Source organism: Homo sapiens, chromosome 16 (assembly GCF_000001405.40).
Source record: "Homo sapiens chromosome 16, GRCh38.p14 Primary Assembly".
NCBI classification, from domain to species: domain Eukaryota; kingdom Metazoa; phylum Chordata; class Mammalia; order Primates; family Hominidae; genus Homo; species Homo sapiens.
The window spans coordinates 9,439,311-9,455,817 of record NC_000016.10 but is presented as its reverse complement, the minus strand read 5'-3'; the positions used below and the strand labels follow the sequence as shown (position 1 = coordinate 9,455,817).

The window sequence follows — 16,507 nt, the reverse complement described above, 5'->3', positions numbered from 1 at the left end:
GTCGGGGAAGACATCCTATACAAGGTCATGTCTGAGATGAATCTCAAAGTACAAGCAGGAGCTATGCACATCAATAAGGCAGGGGTGGGTAATATAGGTGAACTTTATAGCATACTCAAAGGCCTAGAGACAAGGTAGAGCATAGCAGGCCCCAAGCTTGTGAGCAAAGCTTGGGGTTCTGTTTGCTTTTTACCATTTCTCTTTGCTTGACGGGATCAGGTTAGAACCAAATTGCATAATAAATCCCGCCAGAAATCTTCCCTTGCTGTTTCCACAGGAAATCATTTAAAAAGGTGAAATTCAGCCACAGCTACATCAGTTGCAAGAGGAAAGACATTCGGAAATTTTGCCTTTTCTTTTTGTTCCTGGTTTGGCAGAGAGAGAATACACGAAAATCGATTCAGAGGTAAATGCTCTGCTAATAGAAAAGCATTAACGATAAAAGTAGGTCACTGGCAGGGCCTTTCTACTCACCCCTGTGCTACCTGGATTACAGATACCCTTCATTACTGATACCAGCAGCTGCCTGGGGTCTGCATTGCCCATTTGCTACCCTGGATGTCCACTGATCATGCCCCTGAAGCCCCCTGAACAAATGCCCAGTGCTGACCACGTGAAAGAGATATTCTTCACCTGAATTCTCATGTTCTATGCATTTTACCCCAACCAACCAAGCAACCAGCCAATGAGCCAATCAATCCAAGGTACTCACTGAGCATCCACTTTGTACTGGGCATTGAGCTGGAGCCAGGTCATGGAGAACCTTGTAAGACTTATGTTGTGAGTCAGGCTCCCAGGGGAAAAGATTCTGAGCAGAGATTCACATGCAGGGATTTTGTTGGGGAGTGGTTTTGAGAACAACAGATATAAGGATGGGAAGGAAGCAAGCTGGACAAAGGGAGGAAGTAGGGAAAACTGCAGTGACAATAGAAGCTGCAGGTGGTCTTATGTGGGGGCACTGGAACTGGGGTGGACCCTCAAAGATGTTCCAAATGGAAGCAAGGGAGGCAGTCTTGTGTGCCTCAACTCTGACCAGTTGTTGCACAGAATGAAGAGACATGACCTTGGATGGGGCAACACTCTTTCTAGGGAGGCAGTCAGCTATGAGTTATCAGCAGTCAATGGACCAAAAGGTATATATGCCTGCTGCATAGTAACAGACCAACGCACTGAGACACCAGGGTTTGCAGCAGAGAAAGAGTTCAATGATCACAGGGTGCCAAGAAAGGAGATGGAAGGAGACTCTCAAATCCATCTCCCCAAGGAATTCTGGGCTGGAGGTTTTAAGGGGATTATGGAGGCTGAGGGGCTGGAAATTTGGGGTCATTGATTGGTTGGGGCAAATAGAAGGAAATCATCAGGACATGGCAACTGCATTCCTTGGTGAATCAGCTTCTCATGGGTTCCTCCAGACCAGCTGAAAACAGTAGTTTCACTGGTATGTAGGACCTGAAAGAATATCTCAAAGGGAAAACATAACATTTTATAATGTTCAAGTTGTTACCTGCAGAGTAGTTAAGGAGAGCTATAATCTTGTAACAGGGTCTACATGATTCCAGGACAATAAGCACCAAACTATGAGGAAGCAGGTCAGAGGGCAAACTAACCTCATGATTAAAGCTGAGTGTGCTGCAAACTTCATCTACTATGTTTCTCCCTTTCTTTCTTCCCTGATTAATTCTATAAAGTTCACAGGGACGGCTTCACCTACACTCCCAGGCACTGGGGAAATAAATGTCTTAGTCTTGTAGGAAGGTCAGGGCAGCACACCACAACATCCACTGCGCCAAAGGAAGGAATTGAGATTTTATTCTCGGAATAAGGGGAATTTATTGCAGTGATTTAGGCAGGGGAGTTGCATGGTCTGACCAACACTGTGAAAGCATCACTCCCGCTGGGTGATGAAGTGGGGGTGAGCAAACATGGCAGCAGGGAGACCAATTAGGAGGCTATTGGAGACATCTCAACCAGAAGGATGGGGATGCAGTGGAAACAGACGAAGTGGATAGTTTAAAACAGCAGGACACAATGAATAACTGGCTGGGAAGGTGAGGAAGACTCTGGCTTGAGCACCTAATGGATCATGAGATAGTGGATGCCAAATGAAGTTTGGGTTTCAGGAGAAGGCTGTGCACTCAACGTGAGGCAGAGTGAGTCTGAGTTCCCTGGGAGATATCCCAGAGGAGATACGGCATCATTTGAGTGTGGCACTCAAAAGAAAAATTGAGACTGGAGGTACAAAAGGAGGAAACTCTCCAGCTCAAAAATAATACCTGAGGCTATGGAGTCTTCCTAGTCAGAATGCATAGCTCGAAAACGAAAGAGGGTATGTGAAAGAGCCCTGGAGAAACACAGTCTTTTGTGTTTCTGAGACAAGGTCTTGCTCTGTCACCCAGGCTGGAGTGCAGTGGCACAATTATGGCTTACTGCAGCCTTGACCTCCCAGGCTCAAGCAATCCTCCCACCTTAGCCTCCTGAGTAGCTGGCACCACAGGTGCATGCCACCACACCTGGCTAATTTTTGTGATTTTTAGTAGAGATGAGGCCTCTCTATGTTGCCTAGGCTGGTCTCGAACTCCTGTTCTCAAGCAATCCTCCCACCTCCGCCTCTCAAAGTGCTAAGATTACAGGCAAAAGTCACCACACCTAGCCAAGAAACAGTTTTTAAGTAAAGAGCAGAAGAGTGGAAGCCAGGAAAACAGGCTGAGAAACATAAGCCTGTCAGTCAAACACCAGGAGAATGTGCTGATAATGGCGCTTTCACGGAATGCTCTTTGTGCTGGTCACTATGCAATGAGACTTGCAAAGATTATTTTTATATTATTTGAAGTGGGTGTAACTCCTGTCTTCTCCTTACAGTTGGAGAAACTGAGGCTTACACTGCTGGAGTAATTTGCTCAGGATTGCACACTCAGTAGGAGGGGTGCAAGGCGTTGCTCTCAGACTTTCTGACTCCATATCAAATGGCCTCAACCACTCTAATTTACTGCTATACAGAAGTCAAGATGATGGGGAGTTCTTCAGGAAGGAAAGAATGGTCAAATCTGGAAAATTCTGCAAAGAGGAAGGACTACCATTTAATCCAGCAATCCCACTACTGGGTATCTACCCAAAAGAAAATAAGTCATATGAAAAAAGACACTTGCACACGCATGTTTATAGCAGCACGATTTGCAATTGCAAAAATATGGAACCAACCTAAATGCACATCAACCAATGAATGGATAAAAAAAATGCGGTATATATACACCATGGAATACTACTCAACCATAAAAATAAACGAAATATTGACACTTGCAGTACCTTGGATGAAGTTGGAGATTGTTATTCTAAGTGAAGCAATTCAGGAATGGAAAATCAAGTATCATACGTTCTCATAAGTGAGAGCTAAACTATGAGGATGCAAAGGCATAAGAATGATACGATGGACTTTGGGGACTCAGGGGGAAGGCAGGGAGTAGGGTGGGGAATAAAAGACTACACACTGGATATCGTGTACACTGCTTGGGTGAGAGGTGAACCAAAATCTCAGAAATCACCACTAAAGAACTTTTCCATATAACCAAAAACCACCTGTTCCCCAAAAACTACTAAAATATTTTTTTTTTTTAAAAAGAAGGAGAATGACAGTACCCATGCTCTTTTCAACAAGGAAGGCATTGGTGGCTTGGTGGGAGTGCTTCTACTGAAATGATGGACATGAAAGCCAGACTGTGCTGGACCAAGATGGAATGATTAATTTCTCTGAGTGCACTGGGCATAAAGTTATGATGTGGAATTATCCACCTTACTAGGTTTTGCAGTCAACCTATGACTTTTTAAAAAAAAAATTATCTCTGTGTGACTATTTTGTTGACCATAGGGGTCCATATAAACCCTATTGGTTCACTTAAGAATGCTGGGTGTCTACAGAGAGAATATGGATAGGCAAAATAGTTTAGGAGAGAATAAGTAATTTTAACAGAAGAAGGCAAAGTAATAGCTACATTTAACGCCATTGTTCTTAGGATATGGTCAAGGACTGGTCCACTCTCCAAAGGATTTTATGATAACACTCAGGCTTCTTTTGTATTGATTTGACTGAGATATTGCTTTCTTTTTTCTTGAGTTTAGAGAAAATTCTTATTTGATAATAATAGTAATAATAATCACATTTATTGACTCAAGACATAATTCTAGAATTCCAATTATATGCTAAGCACTGGAGATCCCAGATAAATCAAAGTTCCTGTCCTGGGTGAACTCACTCTTGTTGGAGAGGAAGGAATATAAGCAAATATATGTGTTATTAAGTGATAAGGAATAATGAAGGTGGTGTGTGGTTTTAGTGGAGAGCCCGAAGAAGAAAGGAGAACCAACGTGATGGAAGGGGGAATGCTATATAGAGGAAGATTATTGAAGGAATGCACTTAAGCTGGCTCTTAAACAATGGAGAGAATGTGACACTCAGATGGAATGTGGGGAACATAATGCATTTGGGAGTCTCAGTAGTTCCACATGGTTGGAACCCAGAATTTTGTAAAGAAGCACCAGGAGAAGAAAAACAGAGAGGCACCTCCCCACAGGATACAACACTGCACAGCTTGCTAAGGTGCTTCACCTCCATTATGTAAATGGTTCTGCAAGGTATGGAGAAAGGAAACTTACAAAGACTGAATTACCTAATATACTCCTGGCATTTGAGCTTTGAGGTTTTAACTTATCCTATGTAAATCCAGCCACATGCCTGAGATGTGAGTACTAGTTACCATCTCTGCTTAAAGATTAGGGAAATTGGCCGGGCTCGGTGACTCACTCCTGTAATCCCAGAACTTTGGGAGGCCAAGGCGGGTGGATCATGAGGTCAGGAGATCGAGACCATCCTGGCTAACACGGTGAAACCCCGTCTCTACTAAAAATACAAAAAATTAGCCGGGTGTGGTGGCAGGCAACTGTAATCCCAGCTACTCGGGAGGCTGAGGCAGGAGAATGGTGTGAACCCGGGAGGCGGAGCTCGCAGTGAGCCGAGATTGCACCACCGCACTCCAGCCTGGGTGACAGAGCGAGACACCGTCTCAAAAAAAAAAAAAAAAAAAAAAAAGATTAGGGAAATTGAGACCCAGAGAAGATGACTTGTCCAAGGTCTGAACATGGAGTTTTTAACTCACGTCTATCTGATTCTCAAGTCTGTTCTCTTTTTATTACATGATCCTGCCTTTTTGCTATACCTAAACATTCATAAATACAGGAGGGGATGCAGAATATTATATTCCTAAAGAGCATAGTGAATCATTCATGGAGCTATAGCTGGCCCCTCCTTGGCACAGCATGATTTCAAAGCTCTTCTCTCCAGGCAGGCTGGCCTAGGAAAAAAAGTTACTTCCACGTTGACCTTTAATACAAATGAATGTGAATGATCGGGGAAGGGGAGGAAGCTAGATTTAAATTACTTCTTGAATATTGATTGTGAAAGCAGGAACTTGTGATGTGGACTTTTAATGATATGAACATATGAAAAATGCCAAGATCTTTTTATTTTATTAGATTAATTTTTTTAATATTTCCAAACAGATTTGCAACATAAAGTTTGCAAGCGCAGGAAGAGAAAGGTTGGGCAGGGGTGTGAGACCCATTAAAACAATAAAACATTCCTGAAGTTATACCCAAGTTAGGGAGGAAGATTTGTTCTTTCATTCATTCATTCATTCATTTCCAACGTTAGTTCATTGTGAGTCCCTATAATCTGTGAGTCCTCCTATGCACCAGGCACCACTCAAAGCACTGAGGATCCCTCAGTGGACAGAATAGACAAAAGCCCTGCCCTGCAGAAGTTACATTCCAGTAGGAAACACCATGGAACTTCTGAAATGCTATGCCGTAAATCTAAATGGTGAACATGATATTTAATGAGGACTCAGGAGACCAGAATTCTATCTCCAGTCCTGTTGCTAACTAGCTTCTCTCTCAGTAAGACTACCTAACATTTCTATTTCTTCATTTCCTCATCTGTAAAGTGGGAACAATGCAACTTACACTTTCTGTTGCATGAAGTGGTCACGTGACTCAATCTGCTTAAAAAAAAAAACACAGACTGCTATATTCTAAAGAACACCAAACAGGTAATAACTCCAAGCATTTACTACTCCTACCCCTGCTGCTGCTGCAGCTACTGACATTATTACTGCCGTTGCTACTACTACTTCCACTGTTACTTCTGCTGCTGCTGATGCTGTTACTGCTACCACTACTGCTGTTGCTGTTATGACTACCACTATGTCTACAACTACTATTGCTGCTGTTACTCCTACTACCACTGTTTCTTCTTGCTCCTCTTCTACTACTACTGCTATTCTAATACTGCTACTAATGCCATTATTACTATTATTTCTACTATTACTATGACAATCACTGCTATTGCTATTTTTAGCACACTTTACTCTTGGCTTCCATGACACTCATTTCTTGGTTTTCTCTTACTTCTCTGGGTGCTCCCTCTCAGTTTCCCTCAATCCATCTTTCCTCCACCCCCAACCCTGGTACCCTTCCCTAGCACTCTGTGCTTTCCTTCAGATGATGTCAACAATTCCCTCTAAAATGCTATATTTTGATGAGTTCTCATAGGCATTTTCAGTCAAGATATTTTGAACATGACTTCTCCATGTTTTGGAAAAAACTCCTCTCCTGGAATCTACATTTGGGTGTCTCTCAGAAGCCTCAAACTCAATCTGACAAAAGCTGGACTCTTGCCCTCCCCTTCCAAATCTGCCCCCTCCCTTCCTGTATCTTCTGTCTTAGGAAATGAAACCATGACTTCCATCATCATCTCACAATAAACCTGGCAATTATGTCCGACACTCCCTTTCTCTTGTTCCCGAACACTCTCTCACTCACAAATTCCTATGGATTTTACCTTATAAATGTTTTTGATACTCTCAAAGCCCTGACTTCACCACTACATAATCTAGGCATATAACAAAATTACACTGGTACCCCATAAATTTATACAAATTTTAAAATATATTTCTTGAGCATGTCTACTTCTGTGCATCATCCCCTCAGCTCATGAGATTGTCTCCCATGTCACCAGGACCATTATTGTTGTTTCCTAACTTCCACTATTGGCCCCTTTAGTTAACTCTCCATTTTTAAAAGATCTTTCATGCTTTTTTTTTTTTTTTTTTTTTTTTTGAGACAGGGTATTATTCTGTCACCCAGGCTGGAGTGCAGTGGGGTAATCATGGCTCACTGCAGCCTCGGCCTCCTGGGCTCAAGTGATCCTTCCAAGTCAGCCTCCCAAGTAGCTGGAAAGAGGTGTGCACCACCATGCCCAGCTATTTTTTTTTAATATTTTTGTAGAGATGGGAGTCTCACTATGTTGCCCAGGCTTCGTATTCAACTCCTGGCTGAAGTCCTCCCACTTCAGCATTCCAAAGTGTTGGGATTACAGGCATGAACCACTGCACCCACCTATTTCATACCTTTTCTTTGTTTGTAAAATCAAGTTCAAAATCTACAACATGCCCCTCAGGGGCAGCCTGATTGTCTCCTTCTCCCCCTCCAGCTTCACCCTAGGATCTTTGTCTTCCCTCTTGCTTCAACCACGCATATCTGTCTCCTCTGTGAGCCAGATTCTTTCATCGCAAGGTCTTTCCACATGCTCTTTCCTCTGCCTGGAATGTTCCTTTAGCCCCATCTCCCCAACCCACCCACAGGGCTCACACTCATCTTTCAAACTTCATCTTCACTGTCATTTCCTTCAACCTCCTACCTGACTTGCTTCCCTTTGTCAATCTCAGAGCACCGATGGATTTTGCCTTGTAATTACCTGTATGAGTGAAATCATGTTCAAAGACTGTCTCTCCTGATAGAACGTGAAGGTCAGGACACGCTTGTAATCCCAGTGCCAAGAACGGAGCCTGGCACAAAGCAGGTATTCAATGAATGTGTACTGAGTGAACAAACAAGTAAATCATCACCATTGTTGTTATAAAGTCACTGCCCTCTGGAGATTTCAGTTCCCTCTTATGAGCATCCCATTCTGTGAGATTTTATTTTGTTTATGAAATGTTCTGCTCTACTCCCTTGAACCTAGCAGGTTTCAATTTGGCTTTCCTTCCATTCTTCCCAGACTCATGTGGGACAGACCTTAATGCATGCATTTGGCTCTAATAAACTCAGTTCCAAGGTATTTGAACTTCCTGCTATTCTGGGGTGGCACTGTTACGAAAAGGGGAAAAATCACTGTCCTCTAACAATTATTATCACTGTTATTGCCATTTGAGCTAGAAGCCACCTAAGCAGCTTCTGAAAACATTTCAGTTAAAGAACCTACAGTGTGCCTGAGTCTGTTTTTTATTTTTAAATTTTTCTCTGGAGCTTCCTGGACCCAATCACCCAGAGATGGTAGAAGGGCCCTGGTGAAACATACCAGCCCTGAGGTGCCTCATGACTGACAGATCTTTGCAGCTATGGGCCAGCTGCCATCTGCCAAGTGGCCTCCAAGGGCTCCTGCCAAGAAAGGAGAGGCTCGAGGGAGCAGGAATTGAAAATAACTTAGTATACACAACACACATACACACACAGTCTTATCAATACCCTTGGCTCATTTCAGACGTTGAGCTGTAAATATCAAATCCTCAAGGGTATTTCAAAAATAATTGCATTAGAGCAGGTCTGTTGGGTCCACGCCCCTTAAAGATAAAATAAACCTCACCCCATCATGTGCCCTCACCCATAAACAGATGACAGGGAACTCCATAGAAACTCAGTCTATATTTATGCTGAAGCTCTGTTCTTCCTGATGAGACTCTCCATTACTCCAATAGGATTTTTCTTTCCTTTAAAAGTGACTCTTGGCTGAGCATGGTGACTCATGCCTGTAATCTCACACTACTTTGGGAGGCCAAGGGGGGCAGATCACCAGAGGTCAGGAGCTCAAGACCAGCCTGGCCAAAATGATGAAACCCCTTCTCTACTAAAAATACAAAAATTACCTGGGTGTGGAGGTGCACACCTGTAATCCCAGCTACTCTACTCTGGTAGCTGAGGCAGCAGAATCGCTTGAACTTGGGAGGCAGAGGTTTTAGTGAGCTGAGATTGCACCACTGCACTCCAGCCTGCGTAACAGAGCGAGATTCTGCTTCAAAATAAATAAATAAATAAATAAATAAATAAATAAATAAATAAATAAAAATAAAAGTGACTCTTGGTCCTGGAATGTCTGGGAAATAGCAGGAAAATGGGCAGAACTTCCTCTAATCAGCCTTCCCTTTTGTGCACTCAGAACCATGATCCCGCTCCCAGCTCCCCTGGACCCCTGCTGAGGTGCCTGCTGCAAATGGATCATGCTCTGTATTTTACAGACGTTGTCTTGGTTGCTGCCATCATAACCCCTCAGGGCCCAGGTCTCACAGTACCCTCCGACAGAGCTATTTAAGCCCCCAAAAGCCCCAGCTGTTTCCATACTTCCACCTCCCAACTCTGAGTCTCAACGATGCTTGCCTCCTCCTCTCAGCATCCCACATCAGATCCCAAGTTACTCAGGATTTATAGGACTCTCAGGAAAGCAGTGAATCACTCCCCCTTTCTCTACGTATTACTCAATCACAGGTTCCGGAACCAGTTACCAATCAAAGGAAGATACCAAATATCTCCAGCCTTTGTCTTGGGTGAGTAGGACTCAGCCAGGTTCTTCAGACAGTGTTGAGAACACAGACCAGTCAAGCTTGCATATTTTCTAAAGATTTACTGGACTCTCTGTACTTTCACAGAAGCAGACAATGGCCCTTCACCAGTAAGACCAAGAGAATAAGAAAAAATAATACAAGTTATGTATTGAATGTTTACCAGTTTTCTAATCACTTCACAGGCCTTACCTTTCATTGAAATTTACAAGATCCTGATGCGTTATGTGGTTGTTGTCCTCCTCATTGTTGCTGCTATTATTTTGCAAGGAGAAAGACTGAGGCTCAGAGTGTTTAATTAATTTACCCTTCCATTGTCAGGCAAATGACAATGCTTTTTTGAAACACGTATCTGTGTTGATTCCAAAACCTGAGCTTTTAAAAGTATTAAAAATAACAAAAGCTGACATTTAATGATCACATTACCGAATGCTAGGCGCTAAGCTAAGCATTTAACATGCCTTCTATTCTTTCCTGTAATGATCCCACGAGGTAGGCATCAATATGCCCATTTTAGAGAAGAGGTCACTGAGGTCCAGAACAGCTAAGTATCTGGTCCAAGGACTTATGGCTGATGAGCAGAGAAGCAGGGATTCCAGCCCTAGTCTTCTGACCTCGGAGTCTACTTACCCACAGCACTATGGGAACCTCTACAAAAGTTTTATGGAGGACCTCTGGCCCACAGAGAAGAATTATCTCAAAATGTTTCCCTATGCAGACTCAGTCCTCTGACCAAAACCCAACATCCTACTTTTTTAAATTCAAATCAATAGCAAAAGCAGAGATTGAGATTTGTATCTTTAAGCTACAATTCAAAACTTTGTCTTATTCTTAAAACACATGATAATATACAATCACCTCCAGTGGAGCCACCTAAGCCCCCAGCTGCCCCAGCTACTTCCATACTTTCGTCTCCCAACTCTGAGTCTCCACAATGTTTGCCTCCTACATCAGATCCCAAGTTACTCAGGATTTATAGAACTCTCAGGAAAGCAGTGAATCTCTACCCCTTCCCCTACCTGTTCCTCAATCACAGGTTCTAGAACCAGTTACCAATCAAAGGAGATACTAAATATCTCCAGCCTTCGTCTTGGGTGAATGAGAATCAGCCAGGCAGAGAGGCGTCCTCCAGCAAGGAAGACCAGCTTGTGCCAAGGCCCAGCGGAGACAAGACACAATGGGGTATTTCCGGAGCTGCTTATACTTCAGCATGACACAGCCTGGTAAGTGGGCTGGGAGCACGCAGCCGCTCCTTTGTGAAAGGGCAGGCTCCGAAAGGTGGATTCCCCTGGTGTCCCGTATCCTCGGATTTTGCACCACTCAGTGCCTCCATTCCTGGGCAGCTGTCCTCAGTAGTACCCAGCACAGGCAACTGACCACTGTAGATCAAGACTGTTTCTCCAGATCTTGACTCATCTCAGCCTCAGAGCAAACCATTTCTACATTTGTATAATGCTATTCACCAGAGGCCACTGGTCATGACAGCTGTGACATCTACCCCCATGTTCTTTTGGCTGTCTGGTCAATTATTTTCATCTCAAAGCCCCATAATTTCCCAGGCTGGCACGGTAGCCAGGGCACAGGGTCAGGAATCATATATACCTAGGTTCTAGTCATGCATCTTTTCTTTACCAGCTGTGTGACCTAGGACATGTCACTTTGCTTCTCCAAAACCCAATTGCCTTACCGTTAACTGGGGATTATAAAGCCCTCCTTCCATAGTGTTGCTGTGAGGATTAAATATGCTAACCAAAGACCTGGTATGAAGAAGAGGTCCCATGTGTGTCATTAAGCCCTTTTCCCCTACATAACCAAGTGCATAGTGCATAGACGTAGTGAGACAGTGATTAGACCTTTTGAGCAAGGGAACTTCAAAGAGAGCTCACAGTGTTGCCAGAACTCTCTGAATGGATTCATTTATAGAGAGACTGTAAAGAAAGCACACAAAGCCGTGAACTCAACCCTTCACTTGTCCCTGCTCTTCATATTCAAATGTTGGAAAGACAGGACAAGCCGGACCAACATGCAGGGAAAGGTGACCACAAAGCCAGGTGTGTGAAGGGAATGAGGAAGGGGATTGGGCAGGTGCTCACTGAAGAAAGACATCTCCACAGGGGCCAGCCCACCAACGAACACCTTCTTCCTGATTCCAGCTGAGCCTTGGAAGCCAGGTACTTCCTCTACATGCTATGCTCCTAAGAGTCTGTAGACCCCACCAAAGGTCAAGAAATTGCAAAAAATCTTTATAGACTCTAAAAGAAAGAAAGCTTTTTTTTTTTTTCCTGGAGTGCCATGGTGCGATCTCCGCTCACTGCAACCTCCACCTCCCGGGTTCAAGCAATTCTCCTGCCTCAGCCTCCCGAGTACCTGGGATTACAGGCATGTGCCACCACGCCCAGCTAATTTTTTGGTATTTTTAGTAGAGACAGTTTCGCCATATTGGCCAGGTTGGTCTTGAACTCCTGACCTTGCGATCTGCCCACCTTGGACTCCCAAATTGCTGCGATTACAGGCTATTTTATTATTTTTTTAGAGACAGGGTCTCGCTCTGTTGCCCAGACTGGAGTGAAGTGGCAAAATCATAGCTCACTGCAGCGTCAACCTACCCACCTTAAGCGATCCTCCCTCTTCAGCTTCCTGAATAGCTGGGCCTACAGGCATGTGCCACCATGCCTGGTTAATTTTTTAATTTCTTTTGTAGAGATGGGGGGGGTCTCCCTATGTTGCCCAAGCTGGTCTTGAACTCCTGGACTCAGGTGATCCTCTAGCCTCAGCCTCCCAAAATGAAGAAGGCATTTTAAATATCATAGATCAGGCAGTTTCCCAGAGCAGTTGAGGTCCTCCTTGCTGACACGAGGGTGTAGCTACAGGAGCTGCCTCTGCTTGACTCGTCTGCAGCTCTTCTGGGCTCCCTGCTTCCCTCCTCTCCTTCCTCACCCAGTTGTGAAAGCCCCGTCCTTGTGTTGAGGTGCAGGGACCAAGGTCTTTAGAGTCAGATAGACCTCGGGACAAACTGGGCTCCATCATTTCCTAGTGCTGCATTTCCATTAGTTACCTCATTTCTTTGAGCCTCAGATCATCATCTGTAAACACACAGGGCATAATCATAGCATTTCCCTCTTGGGTTGCTGTGAGGATTAGATAAAATATGAATAAAAAGTCGGTCTTTAATACATGCTAGTTTCCTAGGTACACCTCCCCAGCACAGTGCTAAGTATTCGCAATAACAGCAATAACAGCAGTATTAAATAATCACTAAGCACTAGGCTCCGTGCTAAACACTTCCCAGTTACTGTCTTGCTAATCCTCACCACGGCCCTATGATGTAGGTAATATAAGCGCACTTTTTAGAGTTGGGGAAATCAAGTCTCAGAAAGATTCTGTAGTGCATCTCAGGGTACTGTTGAAAAATATCAAAGTAGGAATTCAAGCCAACACAAACAAGGCAGGCTAAGCTCTAGTAGGCACTGACAATGTGCAGGAACTGCTCTAACTACTTTAAATATATCCTCCCCAAAAGAACTCCATGAAATAAGTACTCCTTTTTCCCCCATTTTACAGAAAAGTGTAGGGGGCAGAGGAAAACTTCCCCTTTACTCTCTGATTGTTCACTGAAAATCAACAGACCAAAGGCAGATTAAGAGAAGAAAAGGTATGCAGAATTGTATTTTAACATGCATAGTGTGGGAAAATTGCAGGAGAATGATTACCGAATAACCCGGTGGGGCACAGATGTTTATATACTCTTCATAGGGGAAGAGGAGATGGGGGAAGTGTGGCAATTTGAGGGACAGTGAATGATGTTTAGGGGGAAATGAATGGAGTTGGAGAACACACAACGGCCTCAGACAAAGTCTCTTGGGCCCACAGCGCAGCCAATGGCTGGTGACGAAAGTCTGTGCAGGTGTATTAACAGACTTCCATCTTTCCTTCTGCAATATAAGTTAAGACTGTGAAAACTTGGGGAAGACAGTTGTGTTTTTGGCAGGTCTGGTTTCTAGGTAGATAAGAGAACTTCAGAGAACAACTTTATCCTGTGCTTTGGGAGAGACAGAGGATGGAGAGTTGGGACGAGGGAAAGTCAGAGAGACCGTGAGGCTACTTCTTTAGTTCAGTACATCAAAGCGCAGTATTTGGGGGTATTGGTTTCTGAGCCCCAACAAAAAGAAACAAGCTCAGAGGCTAAATAACTAATAGATTCTCCCAGCTAACAGGAGGTGGAACCAGAATTCAAACCTACATCTCCCCAATTCTAGAGCTTATTGTTTTCTTCTCTATGTTCTGCTGCCTCTTCTATGCAGTTAAATAAAAGAGAAGGTTACATTTTTTAGCAAGTGCCAAATGAAAAGACAGGCAATTTATACTCTGAGAGTTCAAAGGAAGGAGACATCAGTGAAGGATGGAGAGATGTGAGCCCTTGCTCTGTTACCTGAAATTTTATTTCACCTCTGTGAGCCTCAGTTTCCTTAAGTGAGACAAGGAAATGATAGTGCTCATTTCAGAGGGTGAGGGTGTCATATGAATGAGTACAGAGGAGCTTGATGCATGTTTCTTAGAAGATTTGCATGGGGGGGACCCTTGCTGTGGTCCAAGGAGTGGTGTTCCTTTTCTCCTTGCCTTCCCTTTCTGTGTTTGTAGGGAGAAAGCCCTAAGACCTGTGAAAATGAAGATGTGCTGTCTGACTCCCTCAGCCTGCCCACAGAAGCAATTCAAAGGCCTCAAATAATTGTCTCAAAAGAAGCAATTTGGAGAAAGTACATTACAGGAGGAAAGAAAATTGCCTAATCCTCATTCTGCTGAGTCCTCAATTTGCAAAAGCTCGGAATCAAAATAATGAGGAAATAAACATGAGGGCCGTTCCAGGGCTGGTTCTCCTGTGAATGCCTGTCAATCACTCAACTGGAAGACTCCACCTATCAGTGCAGAGAAGTCCTCAAGGCCACCTGGGAGCAGCTATGAGGTCAGAAGAGGAAATGCAGTGACAGGATAACACATGGGGAGGCAGCAAAAAGGCCCCTGGTTTGACGGTGCTGCAAGACATAGCTCAGCCTGTCACCAGCTATGTGATTTCCTGTAATGCTCCCTGCCTCTCGGGCATCCCCAGGAAAGGGTCATGGTGCTAAAACATACAAGGAGCCTTAACACAGAGGGTGCCTGTGGTGAATGCCCACACGTGCATATTTCCTCAGTAACCCGATCATTTTTCACCTTTTACTTTCTGATGCCATGTGGACATTCTGCTGCTCAGCTCACGAGAACTGTTTTAATCTCTCCATAAGTACCTGGGCTGGGATTTGAATTATGGAAAGTGAGCAAAAGCAGCAGGTATCAAAATTGCAGGGGTCTGAGAAAGCGTTTTTTGTTTTTGTTTTTGTTTTTTTTTCTGAGACAGTTTCACTCTGTTGCCCAGGCTGGAGTGCAATGGCATGATCTCAGCTCACTGCAACCTCCACCTCCCGGGTTGGGCTCAAGAAATTCTCCTGCCTCAGCCTCCTGAGTAGCTGGGACTACAGGTGCCCACCACCACGCCCAGCTAATTTTTGTATTTTTAGTAGAAACAGAATTTTGCCATTTTGGTCAGGCTGGTCTTGAACCCCTGACCTCAGGGGATCTGCCTGCCTCGGCCTCCCAAAGTGCTGGGATTACAGGCTTGAGCCACCATGCCCAGCCCTATTTTTCTTATGTAACAAGGACAGACAGTTTAAATAAAGCTAGGAATATTTTTTTAATTCCATCAACAGAGATTTGAAAATTGATTTAGTGTCCAATTAAAACCCCATATGTTCAAAGTCCTACCATTGACGGGGAAGTTTCACAGATGTGTGTTTAATGCATAATTCATGGAAAAGTGGTGTGATTTATTTATGTTTATCTGTGAAGATAGGCTGAGCAGGAGCTACTTTAAATGAATAGTTTTATGGCCTTGAAAAATAAAAGACGCTCAATTTATACATTTATAATTAAAGGGCCACTGATGGCTGAGCTTCATGTAGACACGATTCAGTCCATCCATTTGGCTTGTGAGGAATGGATCTGGGGGATTCCCAGGAGTTCTGAGAAGGAACCAGGACAGCTCCCGGGCTTGCAGGTGAATGACTGGCATTATATGGAGCCCTTCCAGAGCCTCTTTAGCAAGAACACTGGGAGATGCTTTCAGAATCTGAAGCAGGCAAGGGTAGCGCTGAATAGTTAGGTCTGCTAGGCGGGGATCATAACAGTGCCTGGATGGCAGAGAGTAGTGCTAGGGATAAATGAGATGACATAGGTGAGGGGCTGGCACACAGCAGACACTCAAGCGTTGCAGAGAGCTCAGAAAGCTGGCGTCTACCTGGCAGTACCACCAGTGCAGCCCCCTTCCCGCCCCCACATTGTAGCATTGTGGTCAAGAGCACTGTCTAGATGTGAGCACGTTCTAGGGCCTGAGCTGGTCATTGCACCTCCCTTGGTGTCAGTTTCCTCATCCCTGTAATGGGGATAATAATAGTACTTGTCTCATAGGATTATTGCAAAGATTCAAAAAGTAACATGTCTTCATTTGGGTTCTCCAAAAGCACTATTATTATCCCCACTTAGCAGATGAGTAAGGGATTCCCACACATCCTGGTTCGTGCCCATGGTTCAGCATAGATTATTATCAGCATACCCTTCATGCTCCCAGTTTTCTGTCTGGACCATAAATCAATCATATAGTTATTATCCAGAGGAGAAAATCGAGGTGAGAGAAGTAACTTGCTCAGAATCACACAAGAGAGTCAGGACTTACACCCAGACATTCAAGTCCATTCTCTGCACTAACCACCACACTTGCTTGCCTCAGATTCTGAAATTATCTCCTGGGGTTCTTG

The 16,507-nt window shown here is 44.1% G+C and overlaps 2 long non-coding RNA genes across 2 annotated transcripts; both read left to right on the top strand.

Moving 5' to 3' along the window:
• Nucleotides 1-312: 312 nt before the first annotated feature.
• LINC01195 (long intergenic non-protein coding RNA 1195) lies at nt 313-9,805 on the top strand. Its single transcript, NR_126349.1, has 5 exons — nt 313-406; nt 5,994-6,098; nt 7,776-7,909; nt 9,589-9,647; nt 9,750-9,805. It is a non-coding gene; the product is annotated as a long intergenic non-protein coding RNA 1195 (long non-coding RNA).
• A 1,027-nt stretch (nt 9,806-10,832) lies between these two features.
• On the top strand, nt 10,833-14,524 carry LINC01177 (long intergenic non-protein coding RNA 1177). The gene is made up of 4 exons (NR_126397.1): nt 10,833-10,885; nt 11,666-11,833; nt 13,224-13,314; nt 14,301-14,524. It is a non-coding gene; the product is annotated as a long intergenic non-protein coding RNA 1177 (long non-coding RNA).
• Nucleotides 14,525-16,507: the final 1,983 nt, after the last annotated feature.